Here is a 16,002-nt window from a genome sequence, read left to right on the forward strand (position 1 = left end):
TTACTCAGGCCAGTCAATGATAAGCACGCTTACCCTGCCTTGCCTGATGCATTAGTTCATTTTCATGCTGCTAATAAAGACATACCCGAGGCTGGGTAATTTATAAAGGAAAGAGGTTTAGTGGACTCCCAGGTCTACATGGCTGGGGAGGCCTCACAGTCATGGCAGAAGGTGAATGAAGAGCAAAGGCACGTCTTACATGGCGGCAGGCAAGAGAGGGTGTGCAAGGGAATTGCCCTTTGTAAAACCATCAGATCTCGTGAGACTTATTCACTACCACGAGAACAGCACAAGACAGACCCACATCTGTGATTCAATTACCTCCCACTGGGTTCCTGCCACAACACATGGGAATTATGGGAGCTACAGTTCAAGATGAGACTTGGGTGGGGACACAGCCAAACCCTATCACCTGCTCCTCCTACAGAAATTCCCAGAAAGGCTCTGGCCCACAGCTTCTCCCTCTGCCTCTGCCTCCTGCTCTATCTGGTGCTCCCGAGTGGCCTGGCATGGCCTGGCATGGTGTGGCATGTCCCCTCCTCTTGGGAACTGTAACAAACTATCTTTTCAAAGGCCGTCATCTCCTGATTTGTTGGCCTTACTATACTTCAAATGTTCTATTATACACTGTATTTAAAACATGCCCTTTCCCCTTAAACTGGATCTCTGTGCCTGTCTTTCTAATGAAGTCTAGCAGGACCAGGGCTGCCTGGCTTCCAAGACTAGGCTGTGAAAGGTGACACATCCTCTGCCAGTGCTCTCAGCAGGCACACTTAGGATGTGTGCACCACCGTGCAGGGAGTCCAGGTGCTCTGGGGCATACTCTGGAGGTTCGCATGGAGCAGCTGCCGAGAGCTGGAACGGCCCAGAGAGCCCAGTGCTCCAGGCCCAGCTGCGTATTCCCCGGGTGCCAGCCCCACACCCTCTTTCTGCATGGAAACCACTCCAATGTGTCTAGAATTCTGTCATTTATAATAAGATGACCGTGCTCTAAGCCCCCAGAGTTTGGAAGGATTCTTTACACAGCCGGAGGGGTGTGGGACAGCACCTGCTGGGGAGGAAAGAGGCAGGCTGGGTGATGGGAAACATCGAGGTAGGTGCAGCCCCATGGAAGCAGCAGCAACCCCCAGAGTCCCTGACACCGGGCCCTGCAGAGTCCTCTGACGCTGAGGAGAGGGGATGCACCTACATGCCCCCAGAGGCCTGCCGTCCCTGCAGAGCAGCACAACCTTGGGGCAGGGAAGACTGTAGGGGTGACTCAGCCTCAAGGCCTCCACTGTCAGGTCAGCTGGGGAATAGGACTGTGTCCACAACCGGTGGGATCTGGTGGCATGGTGTCCATCAGCCCCAATGCTAACGGTGCCTCCTTGGCGGCATCTGTTGGGGTCATACAGAGGAGTGCCCATGAAAGGACGGGTGTTTGCTGTGTGGAACAGTCTGGTGGTTTCTCAAAAGGTCAAACTCAGAAGAACCCCATGACCTGACCAGTCCACCCAAGAGAAATGAAAGCGCGTTTCCTCACCCAGATGCACACACAGAGGGATGTTCACAGCAGCACCATTTCCAGGAGCCAGAATGTGGAAACAGCCCCAAAGTCCTTCAATGGATGCCTGGATGAATAAACGTGGTGTACACATGTGACGGAATATGATTCAGCCACGAAAAAGAATGCGTCACCAACACAAGCAACAGCCTGGAGGAGCCGGGAAAACATGCTTGGAGACAGAAGCCAGACACGGAAAGCCACATGGCCTGAGTCCATGTGTGTAAAGTGTCCAGAGGAGGAAAGCCTGTGCAGACTGGAAGGAGAGGACTGCGTGCCACGGGCTGGGTGAGGGGACGGGGACGTGGGGAGTGACTGCTCAGTCGGTACGTGGTTTCTTTTGGGGGTGATGGAAATGTTCTAAAGTTTGGTAGTGCCCATAATCACCAGACCCGTGAATATTTTAAGAACCATGAGGAGTTCGAGATCAGCCTGGCTAACATGGTGAAACCCCGCCGTTTCTACTAAAAATACAAAAAATTAACCAGGCATGGTGGCACATGTCTGTAATCCCAGCTACTCAGGAGGCTGAGGCGGGAGAATCGCTTGAACCAAGGAGGCGGAGGTTGCAGTGAGCCGAGATCACGCCTTGCACTCCAGCTTGGGCGGCAAGAGCGAAACTCCTTCTCAAAAAAAAAAAAAACAAACAAACAAAAAAAAAAAAAAACACACCATGAAATTTTTACATATTAAACTGGTGAATTTTGTGGCTTGTGGATTATATCTTACTTTATAATAGATACAGAAAGCTCTGGTGGCAGAATGCCAGGGCTAGAAACCCGATTGCCACCCACAAGCTCTGTGACCCGAAGGAGGTTTCTCAGCCTCTCAGGGCTCAGTTTCTTCGTCTGCAACGTGGGGGCAACAATTGGGCCGACCACGCAGGGCCTGGACTGAAATGGCCGATGTGTGCACAGAGTTTAGGGCGGTGGCGGGCAGGTGGGCTGTGTGCCCTCCGTGTCGGCCGTGACTGCCTGCCCTCCCTCTCTCCCTCCAGTTCCCATGCCCAGACCCTCCTCCCTCATTCCTGGGCAGCTGCGCACAACGCCTGCTCATCTTCCGGCTTCAGCTTCAGCCTGGAGGAGTCTGTTTCGTTTGCCTGAGAAAGCATTTGCTCATAGAAGCCTGCGTGGATGCGGCAGGCAGCAGGCTCTGGCCACGCCGCCTCCCGCAAGCCCCCTCTGCCGTCTGTCCCACTCTTAGACGGTAGATGCTGTCAGGACCCCTGCCCGGGACTTGGGGCATGGAACTATCTGCAGGTCTAGCTGGAGGCAGGGTCAGGATTCCGCTCACTGGGCTGGAAGGTCCGTGGGTAGGATGTTGTGTGGCTCCGAGCTGCACCCAGAACCTAGCCTGTCCCCGGCAGGCAGGAGGGGCTCCCCAAACACTTATTGGGTGAATAGGCTGAGACTTCAGCAACTGCCTGCAGGAAGGTCCCTGGGGACAAACACTGTTCTACGGCCAGCTCTCCACAGTGGAGGGTACCATTGGGTGCTTCTAGGGGTTCACTCGGCTCGTCTGCGAGCTGGGCAGATGGGCAGGGCTCCGGGCCTGCCATACAGAGGCGGCCTGGGCTGTGTGTCTCATTCACACTATCTTGGAGCATGAGCCGGCTCAGGCTTCCCCTCACTGACCTGCCCAGCCTTTCTCCAGAGCTGCAGGGTTGAGGCTGTGGCTTCAAAGAGCAGGGAGGCCTGACAGAGCCCCTGCAGAGAGGCCAGGAGGAGCTTGGCATGCCCCCTGGGCTGGCCCAAGGGCAGGGCAGACCCTTGACCTCCCCATGGGGGCTGCTGACCCTGGAGCAGAGGCACCAGAGGCCGGGCTTGGCCTGGGGCCCTACCAGCTGCAGGTCATCCCTCTCCTCCGAAACACACGGCCATCTCAGAGCCAGAGCAAGGGCGGTGCGGGCTGGGGTCTGCGGTCCCCACTGGAAGGTCACCAGGGGCCCAGGGCCTGCTCTCAAGTTTGTCACAGTCTGTTTAGAAAACAAAATATGGGGCCAGGCACGGTGGCTCACACCTGTAATCCCATCACTTTGGGAGGCCGAAGCGGGTGGATCACTTCAGGCCAGGAGTTCGAGACCAGCCTGGCCTACATGCTGAAACTCTGTCTCTGCTAAAAATACAAAAATTAGCCAGGCGTGGTGGCGCATGCCTGTAATCCCAGCTACTCGGGAGGCTGAGGCAGGAGAATAGCTTGAACCTGGGAGGTGGAGGTTGCGGTGACCTGAGATCGAGTCACTACACTCCAGCCTGGGTGACAGAGCAAGATTCCATCTCAAAAAATAATAATAATAAATAAGTAAATAAATAAAAAGAACATGAAATATGGGCCAAAATAAGATTTCAAAATTGTAGTGTATTTTATTTTCCTGCACTCAGAAAGTGTGAGAGTTGACTTGACTTTGCCCAACCTGGAACACCAGGGTTTCTTCAAAAGAAGCAGTGGTGTGCTCTCAGGAAGGTCTGAAGCCAACGGGGCTGGAAGGAGAGCGATTTGCTACTTATACCTCGAAGATTTAATTCTGTTTGAAGGCCACCGCTCCAGTGCCACTTCCTAGAGATAATCGTGCGGTTTATAAGGAACTATGAGACTCATTTTAGAAAGCGCTTCCAGGAGGCTGAAGCTGGGGGTCTGGGAGTTTGACGGGCCCTTCCTCCCACCTGCAGGGGCTGCAGGCGCAACCTCATTGAGGGATGAACAACCTTCTCTGGACGTGAAGCTGGGTGGGAGGGTGGGGGACGAGAAGAGGCTGCAGAGGAGGCGGGGGCTCTGAATCCACCCAGCCAGGCCAGCCCTGTCTCTGTGACTACAAAGAATGTTCTGGAAGGGTTAGGGTGCTGTTTGCCTCAGGGGAGAGGGCGTGGTGGGAGGGCTGCTGGGCTGGCAGAGTACCAGGGGAATTCCCAGGAACTCCTCTGGCATCTCTGAGACCCAGCAGGGCAGAGGGTGGGCGGGGCTGCATGGCGCAGGGGCTCCCAGACCTGAGCTGTGGAGGTGGGGCCCTGTCTGCCCCCTCACTTTGGAAACCTAGTAGGGTTTGTTTGCTTGTTTTTTGTTGTTGTTGTTGTTGTTGTTGTGTGTGTGTGTGTTTTTTTTTAAAGAAATTTGCTGTTTTCCAGGTAGCTTCATAGAAAGCCAGGGTCTCTTTCCTCTATAGTTAGGTTGTTTACATTGCAAAAGCCTAATCCTCTTGCTAGGTTGATATTGTGTCTCGTGGGCTCCTTAATGAAAAGCATTTGTCCAGGATTATTCCTTCACAGCAAATGAGAGCCTCCAAGACAGCTCCACTCTGAGAACCGGCCTTGTGGCTGGGGCACGAGCACCAGGGGCCCCAAAGAGGGGGTCAGGCTCGAGCCACTTGTGTACGTGTGCTACTCCTGGCCTGAGCACCCCAGGCTGGCTCTGAAATCTAGGGTGAGCAGAAAGGGAGGCAGATTCTCACTGTAAGAAGCACGGGGGAGAGACCCCATTCGAGTGGGCTGTTTCCCTTTTGGTTTTGAGCCTGTAGTTTCCCCCAAAGGATGTCCACATCCTAATCCCTGGAATCTCTGGACATGTCACCTGACATAGAAAAAGGGACTTTGCTGTTGTGATTAAGGACTCTGGGATGAGGAGATGATCCTGGATAATGTAATCACAGGAGTCCTTGAGGAGGAAGGCAGGAAGGTCAGAGGAGGAAGCAAGAGGCCAGAGTGATCCCAGGAAGGGGTCGAAAGCTGCGTTATGCAGGCAGCTCCAGAAACTGCAAAAGGCTGGAAACAGACTCTCCTGGGAGCCTTTGGAAGGAGTGCAGCCAGCCCTGATTTCAGCCCTGAAAGACTCATTGCAGACTTCCGGCCTCCAGAGCTGTAGGAAAATGAAGTTGGTTGCTTTTTTGTTTTTGCTTCTAGAGGCAGGGTCTCGCTCTGTGGCCCAGGCTGAAGTGCAACAATGGTGGCAATAGTGCAATGACGGCTCATGGCAACCTCAACCTCCTGGGCTCAAGTTATCCTCCCTCCTCAGCCTCCCGAGTAGCTGGGACCACAGGTGTGCACCTCCAAGCCTGGCTAATTTTTCTTTTTTTATTTTTTGTAGAGACGGGGTCTTGCTGTGTTGTCCAGGCTGGACTTGAACTCCTGAGCTCAAATGATCCTCCTTCCTCAGCCTCCCCAAGTGCTGGGATTACAGGCGTGAGCCACTGTACCAGGTCAAGTTGTGTTGTTTTAAGCCATCCAGTTGGTGGTTATTTGTTACAGCAGCCACAGGAGACCCACGCGGCCAGAGTCCCTCTCCTGCCCTGCCCCCGATGCCAGTCAGCCACTAGGCTGGGAGGGTCCTGCCCTGGGAGAGTCCGGCATGAACACAGGGACCAGGTGCAGCAACTGGACTCCAGACAGGAAGCACTCTGTCCTGAGAGCTGCCCACACCCAGATTAGGGTTTGGATCCCCCAAGAAACCCCCATCCAATCTCTTCCCCGCCTCCTTTGGCCCCCAGCAGACCTGCTTCTCACTCACGTTCCCTTTCTGCCCCTGCTTCAGCTTTTTCCTAGACCGCCTGCCTCCAGCAGAACGAATCAAGAAGATTACAGGGCAGGCGGGTGTGAGAGCAGCTCCTGGGGCGAAACTAGACGAAAATCCCCTGGCCCTGTTTCCCCAAACTTCCCTTTGATTTTTAATTTTTTTCAAAAGTTTCTTCATCACAAAATTTCCGGATGTGACATCCCTGGCAGCTCACACAGCAAGTTTTGGCAAAAACCAATGTCTTACTTCTCGCTGGGCTGCAAGAAATTAGAGTAATCGCCCCCAACACACAAAGGCATGAACTCCCGATGCAATTAAGGAGAGGTGAGGGGATCAAAGGAATCATGGCTGTGGATGAACTCTCCTTCTCTCGTTTTCCCTTAAAAGTCACGAGAGGCAACTTGCAGTCTAGTTAGCTTGGGGGCACCCGGGGTTGGGGTGTAGCAATGTGGGCAGGAGATGGTATCCTTGGCCTCAGCAGATGGGGCCCCTAAGGTTGTACTTTTTGGCGTGGCTCTGCCAGAGATTATATGAGCTCCAAGTTCTGGAGCTCCCTTCCAGCCCCGCTTTTCACTTTGGCGCAAGAGGGCAGTTAGGGCAAGTTCCTAGTTGTCCCCAAGGCTCCTCTGCCCCTCAACTGTGACGTGGGATGGTGATACCACCTAGCTTGCAGGGCTGGGTGCAGGTTTAAGGAGGCACGATTGAAACCTGGTGCCTGGCACAGAGAAAGCTCAAAAATGCAGGGTGCCACCCTTCATGTCATCCTCACCTCCACCCCATCGGCACCGCCTCCCACGCAGCCCTCCTCAGTGACGACGGCGGGTTTGGCTTCATCCCCTTCCATGAAGATGAGCGCGGCTCCCTCTCCTTTGTGTTGGATCTGGGGCCCTGGGGAGAGCTGGGCACACGGCTGGTGTGTAGTAGCGGCTCACTGCTGGGACACTGCTGTCTGCTGAGGGTTGCTCACTTGGCTGTGGTTGCTGCTCTCAGGCCTCTCATGGAGCCACCGTGACACACCCCCCGTGACACACACACCCCGTGACACACACCCCCCGTGACACATCCCCCGTGACACACACCCCGTGACACACACCCCGTGACACACCCCCCGTGACACACACCCTGTGACACACACCCCGTGACACACCCCCCGTGACACACCCCTCCAAGCCAGGGTGCAAGTTACATCCCATCGCCAGGCCCAGCACCATCCACACAGCAGCCCCACACGTGGGGAGCGTCGCTGTGGTTATGGCCGACTTGCCGTGTAGGCTAAGATTGTTCCCCTTACACACACAGACATCCTCTCTCTCACACCCTCACGCAATCCCACACTCGTATTCACTCCCACATTTACACACGTACACGCTCACAGGCATGCATACAGTGGGGCATTCATTTACACACACACCCATGCACACACACACATCCTCACACACACCCACATGCATCTTCACACACTGTGAAACACACACCCACACCCACACACTCTACGGGGGTCACACAGGCCTCTCCAGCTGCGCCCTCCCTGCACCGTGCAGACCCCCAGGTCTGGCCTCAGAGGGGACACGCAAGCCCCACTGGCAGCAGACCTCCGGTGTCCCGTCCCCTGTCTGGGCTGGCGAAAGTGCAGGTAGCTCCTTGGTCGCCTGACCCAGTGCCTTGGATGCTGCCCGTGTGCTGGGCCGGAGGACACCATTCCCTCGCGCACAACAAGCCCTGTGAGGCATCACGGAGGGGACGGGAGCTCACACCTCAACCTAGAGACCCCGTCTACTCACAACCACTTTTAAGGAATGCAGCTAAACAGGGGGCTCAGATCCCTGTTCAGGGCCCTTCTCACGATCCCACCGTAACAGCCCAGCCCTGCGGGTGCCTGGCTGCAGTCTCCTTCTCCCCAGCACTTCCAGACCTGGCAGCCCGGCCCAATACCAGCGGCCGTGGGGCCTGACCTGGACTGAACCCCGGAGCCCGGACAGGCTGGTCACTGCAGGGCGGGGCCTGAATTCTGCAGCTGCTCCTGAGGCCAAAAGCTGTTCTGAGGGTGGGGTGGGCTGCCAGGCTCCACCGACGCCCTCCCGCACTGCAGGCGCCTCTCTGGAGCCTCACATATGTCCACCATCAGATTCCATGGTCTGCGGTCTGTGGAGACGGTGGGGACCGACTCTCTCAACACCTCTGTGTGAACTGGATCCCCTGGGGGACTGGGGGGAGTAACAGAAAAGCTCACAGAGTGCCCCTGAGCCCAGAGCTGTTTCTGATCTCTCCTTAAAAGCGATCTCCGTGGAAACAGCCCAGATGACCATCAGTGGACGAATAGATACACAACTGTGGTCCATCCACACAACAGAATATCATCCAGTCACAGAAAGGGAGGAAGCGCTGATCCATGCTACAACATGGGTGAACCCCAAAAACATGATAAGAGACGCCGGATACAAAAGGCCACGTAGCATGTGATTTTACCTCCACGGAATGCCCAGAAGAGGCAAAATCTGCAGAGACAGAAAGCAGAGGAGCCAGGGGGAGGAGCTGAGTGTTCGGGAGAGGGGAGTGAGCAGTGACCGATCACAGGTTCAGGCTTTCCTTTGGGGCGATGACAATGTTAGGAAGTCGAGAGAGGTGTTTACACAACCTTGTGAAGATATTAAGTGCCACTGAACTGTGTGCTTTAAAGTCGTTCATTTTATGTTACATGCATTTCAACTCAATTTTTTTAAGTGACCTCTGATTTTTAAAAGACGAGTCAATATTCCCAGTGACTCATTTGACCATGGGAAAATCCACTCTTTTATGGGCCAAATGTTTGCAAGGCTAGAGTTCTGTCTGAAATGGAAACTTCATCAACAGCTGGGCATTCGGTGGCCAGGCTTTTACTTGGAAAATTGGACCAGATTTCTTGGCCATCATCTTAATTATGTGTTCGACACAGAGGGACAGAAATTTCTAAATCACAACTTCCTCTGAGTGGAGAAAATCAAGCCCCAAATTCTTAAAGGGATATAGGAAAGCAAGTCTCCCGGCCATGCTTTTTGAGAGGGATGTTGGTGAAGGGCGTTTAGTCCTCCCCATCATAGAAGAGGAGAATCTGGCCACCCAAAATGTGGGAACTGGGTTCTGTGGACTGGGAAGGTTCAAAAAGAGTATCAAAAACGGGGGAGGTTCGCCTTTCCCAACTGCAGCCAGATGGCACACAAGGCTCTCCTGCATGTGCTTCCAGAATGTCTCCAGGCAGACAGAATGTGTCCAAATGCTAGGAGGAAAACAGAGTACAACAGCGTCAATGACCACAGCAGTAATGGAAACCATGCTAATAATCATAATACCCTCTACCAAGCCCAACCCCATGTGTCATCCTACACAGTAGCTAGGACGACATTAGTACCCCATTTCATTCTCCCGTGTCTCAGTCTCTGTATCTGAACAACAGGACAAATAACAGTGTCTACTTCATTATGCTGTCATCATTATTGAATGAAGGTTCAACTCTCCATATTCCATTTTTTAACAAAAGCTTCAACTCACATTTATTGGCAAATGTTGATGTCATCCAGGTCCAGTTCCATGCTGCCAACAGAAGATCCATTCCTTATCTTCCAGCGATGCGCTGTACTTCTGAACAGCTTCGCCTGCATTTGGTAAGCAAGAGTCGTCAGTAGCCTGGAGTCAATGAGAAGTTTACAAAGTTGTTGAGAGGTCAGGCTTTTGTGAATGAATTATAAGAGGATAATACAAAACAAAAATAATAATAAAATGCCCTAGGGAAAAATAATTTATCCCATGCCAACTAGGTCTTGAGAAGGTCATTTCTAAATTACTGTCTCAAACTGAATTATAAACAACTACTGAAGGCAGAGAAAGGGGGGTGGGGAAGCAAGTGTGGACGGGGCGCAGAAGGCTTCAGGAAAGACAAAACCAGGGGGAGGGAGTCAGACTCTGGAAGAGGAGGCTGTAAATCTGTGGGTCTCAGCCTGTTCAGGTTGCTGTAACCAGCTACCATAGACCAGGTGGTTTACAAGCAAGAGAAACTTATTTCACACAGTTCTGAGGCTGGACATCCAAGATAAAGGCAGATTGGTGTCTGCCAAGGGTCCTTCCCACATAGACGCAGGCACCTTGCTGTGTGTTACACGGTGGGAGGGACAAAGGGGCTCCCTTGGGCCTCTTTTCTAAGGGCACTGACCCCATCCACGAGGCTCCACCTTCATGACTGATCACCTCCCAGAGGCTCCACCTCCTAGAACCATTAGCTTGGAGGCGAGAATTTCAACATAGGAATTTTGTGAGGGACACAAACATTTGGACCATGGCATTCTGCCCTCTGCAGAGCTGGCTGAGGTTATAAACTGCCCACTGTGCAGAAAGGACCCGAAGCAGAAAGCATGCCCAGTCTCAGCCAGGATGGAATAGTTACTGCAGCATGGACAAGGAAGGCATGTCAGAAAAAAAAAAAAAAGCCATTGCCATCACCATCGTTATTATCACCATCATCGCTAGCGTTTCCTGAGTGCTTGCTGGTTCCAGAGATGGTGCAAAGTGCCTTGCACGCATCATGTCACTTAATCCTCCCAACAGCCCGGGGACGTGTGTTCCACGGTTACCCCATCTGCTGGATGAGGAAACTGAGGCTCAGGGAGGTTAACAATTTGCCCAACGTCCAACAGCAGCTGGAGAGCCATGGCAAGGCTGAACGGTGAATGCCTGTGCAAGGGAAGCCAGGCTGTCTCCAGGGCTCCCGACAGGGGCTGCGTTTCTGCTGGGAATAATTGCCGGATTCCATTTGCACTAGGATGTGCGAACTCACTGTTGTTCACTAATTCTAAGACACCTTCTTCGTATTTAACACCCTCTAAAGCTGGGGTGCTGTGTCATGGTTTAGTCTTAGATGGCAACAATAATGGAATCAATGGTATCTTAGACTTAATGAAAAGTTGGGTTGCCAGGCCCAAGTTCCTAGAACTGTTAAGTTTTTGTTTTATGGCAGGCATTTATTTTCTTCTTGTGGCCACTAGAGTTTTTTTTAAAAAAAAAAAAAAAAAAAAAGAAGAAGAAGAAGAAGAAGAAACTTCTAGAGCAGGAATGTCCAAAATTTTGGCTTCCCTGGGCCACACTGAGTGTCTTGGGCCACACATAAAATACACAAACACTAACGATAGCTGATGAGCTAAAAAAAAAAAAAAAAAAATCACAAAAATTTCTCATAATGTTTTCAGAAAGTTTACAAATTTGTGTTGGGCTGCATTCAAAGCTGTCCTGGGCCACATGCAGGCCATGGGCCACAGGTTGGACAAGCTTGTTCTAGATAAAGAAAAAAAATGTGTGTGTGTGTGTGTGTGTGTGTGTATACATATATATGGGCTATTAATAAACCACCCAGTTTATGGTGCATTGTTATATAAATAACCTAATGTTCAGATTTCAGATTTTCTATTGCTCTTTAACAAATACAAAATTTAGCAGCTTAAAAACATGGTTTTCTTGCAATTCCATGGGTCTGGAATTCAGCAGGGCTGGGCTGGGTGACTCTTCTTTTCTCCTTGGCCTGGACAGGGCCCATGTGGAGGTATCTGGTTCTGAGAAGAGGCTGTTCCGGAGGGTCCATGTGACTTCACTCACACCCTGGCAGGGAGGGCTGGAAGGCTGGGCTCAGCTAGGACTATGGGCTATCCACATGGCCTCGCCAGCATGCTGGCCTCAGGTAGAAGTATTTCTTCTGTGGTGGCTGAAAGCTCTGGAAGCACGTGTTCCAGGAGACCAGGCAGAGCCGCAGGGCCTATATGGTATAGCCTTGGAGGACATGCATCCTCACCTCCTGACCCTGTGTGGGAGAGGACAGCCTGGATGGTGTAGCCTTGGAGGACATTCATCCTCACCTCCTGACTCTGTGTGGGAGAGAAGGATCTGGATGGTGTAGCCTTGGAGGGCGTGCATCCTCACCTCTTGACTCCATGTGGGAGAGGATGGCCTGGATAGTGTAAACTTGGAAGGTGTGCATTCTTACCTCCTGACTCCATGTGGGAGAGGACGGCCAGGGGGGTGTAGTCATGGAAGGCATGCATCCTTACCTCCTGGAGACGTGCCAATGCCTAGCCTGGAAAGGGTCCCACCTGCCTCCTGACCCCGTTTGGGAGAGGATGGCCTAGAGTGTGTAGTCTTGGAAAGCATGCATCCTCACCTCCTGATTCCGTGTGGGAGAGAACGACCTGGATGGTGTAAACTTGGAAGGTGTGCATTCTTATCTCCTGACTCCGTGTGGGAGAGGACTTCACCAGGGCGCAGGTGCCAGAGGCTCCCACACCAAGGATGAAGATGGTCACCTTCACAACCCGTTCCGACTCACCCAGTGGCTACTGTTGGACACCTACTCTCTGTCAAGCATTTTCCTTGGCAACAAGTAAAAAAGACACTCAAATGATGTCCTCAAGGCCGTTACGCTGCAGTGACATAAGAGGCAAGTGACCTAAGAAAAACAGGATCCTTGGAAATAGTGATAATCACTCTAAAGAATGAAACAGGGGCTGGGGCCTGTGACTCATGCCTCTAATCCCAGCGCCTTGGAAGGCAGGTGGATCGCTTCAGCTCAAGAGTTGGAAACCAGGCCAGGCGCAGTGGCTCACATCTTTAATACCAGCACTTTGGGAGGCCGAGGCAGGTGGATCAGGAGGTCAGGAGTTCAAGACCAGCCTGGCCAACATGGTGAAATCCTGTCTCTACTAAAAATACAAAAAATAGCCAGGTGTTGTGGTGTGCGCCTGTAGGCCCAGCTACTCAGGAGGCTGAGGCAGGAGAATTGCTTGAACCCGGGAGGCAGAGGTTTCAGTGAGCCAAGATTGTGCCACTGCACTCCAGCTTGGACGACAGAGCGAGACTGTCTCAAAAAAAAAAAAAAAAAAAAAAAAGGAGTTGGAAACCAGCCTGACAGACATGGCGAAACCCGTCTCTTTAAAAAGTACAAAAAAATTGGACGTGCTGGCGCGTGCCTGTGGTTCCAGCTACTTGGGGGGCTGAGGCAGGAAAATCGCTTGAACCTGGGAGGTCAAGGCTGCAGTGAGCCAAGATGGCACCATTGCACTCCAGCCTGGGGGACAAAGTGAGACCCTGTCTCAAAAAGAAAAAGAATGAAATAAATAGGAAAACATAGTGGAGCCTGGAATGTTAGAAAGAATGATCACGGAGGCGTCCTGAGGAGGTGACCTGTGACAAGCAATCTGAATGATGGCGGGGAATGGCTGTGGGACTCCCTGGGAAAGTGCATTTGGGGATGGGGAAGAGCACGTGCCAAGGCTGCAGGGTGGAGGAGAGTGGGCTGGAGTCCTCCAGGAACAGAGGATGGGTCTGTGAGGGCCCGGAGTCACGGGGGCTGGGAAAGGGACCAGGAGGAGATCCTCAGGAGGTGAGAAGCCAGACCAGGGGTTCTCAGGGGCCATGGCACAGGGTGTGGATTTTATGCCAGATGCATTGGGACCCATCCTAGCGCCTGCCTGGAGGTGGAGTCACTGAGCAGCTGGGTCATGTGTGGCTGGTGACCAGCAGGGCCTATCTGGAGGAAGGGCGGTGTGGCGAGCCCAGCCTGCCCTTAGCACACACACACGCACACAGGGGTGAGGCTGGGCTGCACCCACCCGCCTCCGGGCCATCCCCTGCACCTCGGATGACTCCTCCTGGGCGTGTCATTCCTGCCCACGCTTGGCTCACGGACCTCACAGCCACTTGGGGCCTGTGCTTCCCAGCAACAGGAAGCCTCACGCAGTTTAGAAGGGGACCTGGGCCTCTGCCGCAGTCAGGGCAGGGAAGGGCAGGGGTGGGGGTGGCCAAGCGAAGCTGGCTGGGAGAAAGCATCACCTGGAGACGCTCCAACGCCCAGCTTGGAAAGGGTCCCACCCGCCTCTGCATTCGTTTGGATGTGTCTTTCGTAAAAATCAAAGAAAGAAAGAGATGCTTGTTTCAGCTGACGACAGGGAGCTCCAGGGTTGCCCATAAGTTCAGGAGACGCCGTTCTGTCACCCTTGATATTCCCAAAATATCAAACCTTCACTGGTGCAGCCTGCTGCACTGGGTGTTTCATCAAGCTTTCTTGATTTTTAAAAACTTTTTTACAACCCCTTTAGCCCTCAACAAATATGAAGTCCACATCAAGTGCATAATAAATGTCTGCTAATTGAGTGACAGTGGTAGGCAGAATAATGGCACCCCCAACCAAAATGTCCACATCCAAGCCCCTGGGCCCGTGAATATGTCACCTTACATGGTAAAAGGGGCTTTGTGGATGTGAGTAGGGGTTAGGGACCCTGAAATGGAAAGGTTTTCCTGAATTACCCAGGTGGGACCAGTCTAACCACAGAGGCACTAAACGTTGGAGGACTGTTCCCAGCTGTGGTCACAGAGAAACAGGATGGCAGAAGAAGGGTCAGAGAGATGAGAACTTGGTGGCTCTGAAGCTGGAGGAAGGGGCCACACACCAAGGAACGTGGGTGCTCCTAGTGGCTGAAAAAAGAGGGGACTGGATCTTCCCTGAGAGCCTCCCCAAGGAACACAGAGCTGGCGACTCCTTGATTGCAGAACTTCTGACCTCCAGAGCTGTAAGAAAATAAACATGCTTATTTTAGTGGCTTGTTTTAAGCCACTAAATTTGCGGTAGTTCATTAGGGAAACCATAGAGTCTCGTCCAGTGACGAACTCATGCCTCTTCCCCCTATTCTGTGGCGAGATGCACATTCTCCTGGAAGACCCATTCTATCATTTTTGAGATAGGATTTTTTTTTCTCCCACCCAGGCCTTTTTCAGTTGCAAGTTCCTAAGACCAAACTCAAATGTCTAAAGGAAGAAAAGAAAAGGAATGCATTGACTCTGATGGCAGGAGAAGGATCTGGGCACGGCTAAATTCAAATGCAATCGTCAAAATCATCTCTCAGCCCTGTTCTCCTCCAGGTGTCCTCATTCTCAGGCAGTTTGCTCCCCATGATGTCCCTTATGCAGGCTTCCCAGCTGATATCCTCTGTGCTTCAAGCCCAGTGGAAATGAACCTTGTTTTTCTCGCCTGTGTGAACTGAAGTTCTCAGCCTGGTGGCTATTGGCCAGAACTGGGTCACATGCCTATCCCTGACCCAATCACAGTGGCCAAAGAGATGCAGTGCTCTGACTGGCCAGGTCTGCACATGACCATCCCTGCAGAGCCACAGGGCTGAGATAAGGGGAGATGAGTTCCCCGGAAAAAATGTAAAACCCCGTTTCTGGGAGATGGGAGAGATGGATGCTCAGTGTCAAAACAAATGTCTCCTGTGGGAATATTGACAATTCACTGGTTTTGCAAAAGGCCATCTGGAAGCCCTTTGATGAGGCAGTGTTTGAAAATCTGCAATGCCATTTGCAGAAATGATGCTCCCACTGAGTGTTTGGGTTCACCCGTCCCGGTCACTCCAGCACGAGGCATGGACGTCACCACCGACCCTTGCTTCCGATGGGAAAGTCCGCCTCCTGGGCCTGGGCATGGGCACCTCACCCTGGGGTCTCTCCCAGGCCTGGTTCCGCCCTCTGGGAATCCCTCCTGATTGTTTTCTGTCCTGCTGGGACTGGGAACATTCACTCTTGTGTTTGTTTTCACAGAGTTTGCAAACTTGAGCCTTGGCCTTGAACCAGGGAAATAATCGGCTTTTTCCATCCGCCCACTGCCATCCCCAGCTGGCCCCTGGAAGAGCCCTGGGAACGCTGTGGGTAGGACCTCTGCTCAGCTGGAGAGAAGGGTATGCCAGTCAAAGCTCCCAGCTGAGCGTGGCTTGGTCACCACCCCTCAGCACCGCCCGTCACGGCTGAGCTCTGTGACTGTCACCCAAGCCAAGTCCTTCCCTCCCATGAGCGATGATTTACACTCTTCCAGCTACCCCAAGACCTTGTTCAGATGGTCTGAAATGGCTCCAAAGGTGCGGATCCCGATGAGACTCAGAGGCCAGGGCCCAAGC

At 52.7% G+C, this 16,002-nt stretch overlaps 1 annotated feature.

The window, feature by feature from the left end:
• Positions 499-999: an enhancer, noted in NCBI's record as "H3K4me1 hESC enhancer chr12:130597592-130598092 (GRCh37/hg19 assembly coordinates)". NCBI's record gives its function as "activates a minimal SCP1, AML or CMV promoter by ChIP-STARR-seq in primed H9 embryonic stem cells {active_cell/tissue: H9 hESC(primed)}" and the evidence as "EXISTENCE:reporter gene assay evidence [ECO:0000049][PMID:30033119]".

This window comes from Homo sapiens, chromosome 12 (assembly GCF_000001405.40).
Source record: "Homo sapiens chromosome 12, GRCh38.p14 Primary Assembly".
Lineage (NCBI taxonomy): Eukaryota > Metazoa > Chordata > Mammalia > Primates > Hominidae > Homo > Homo sapiens.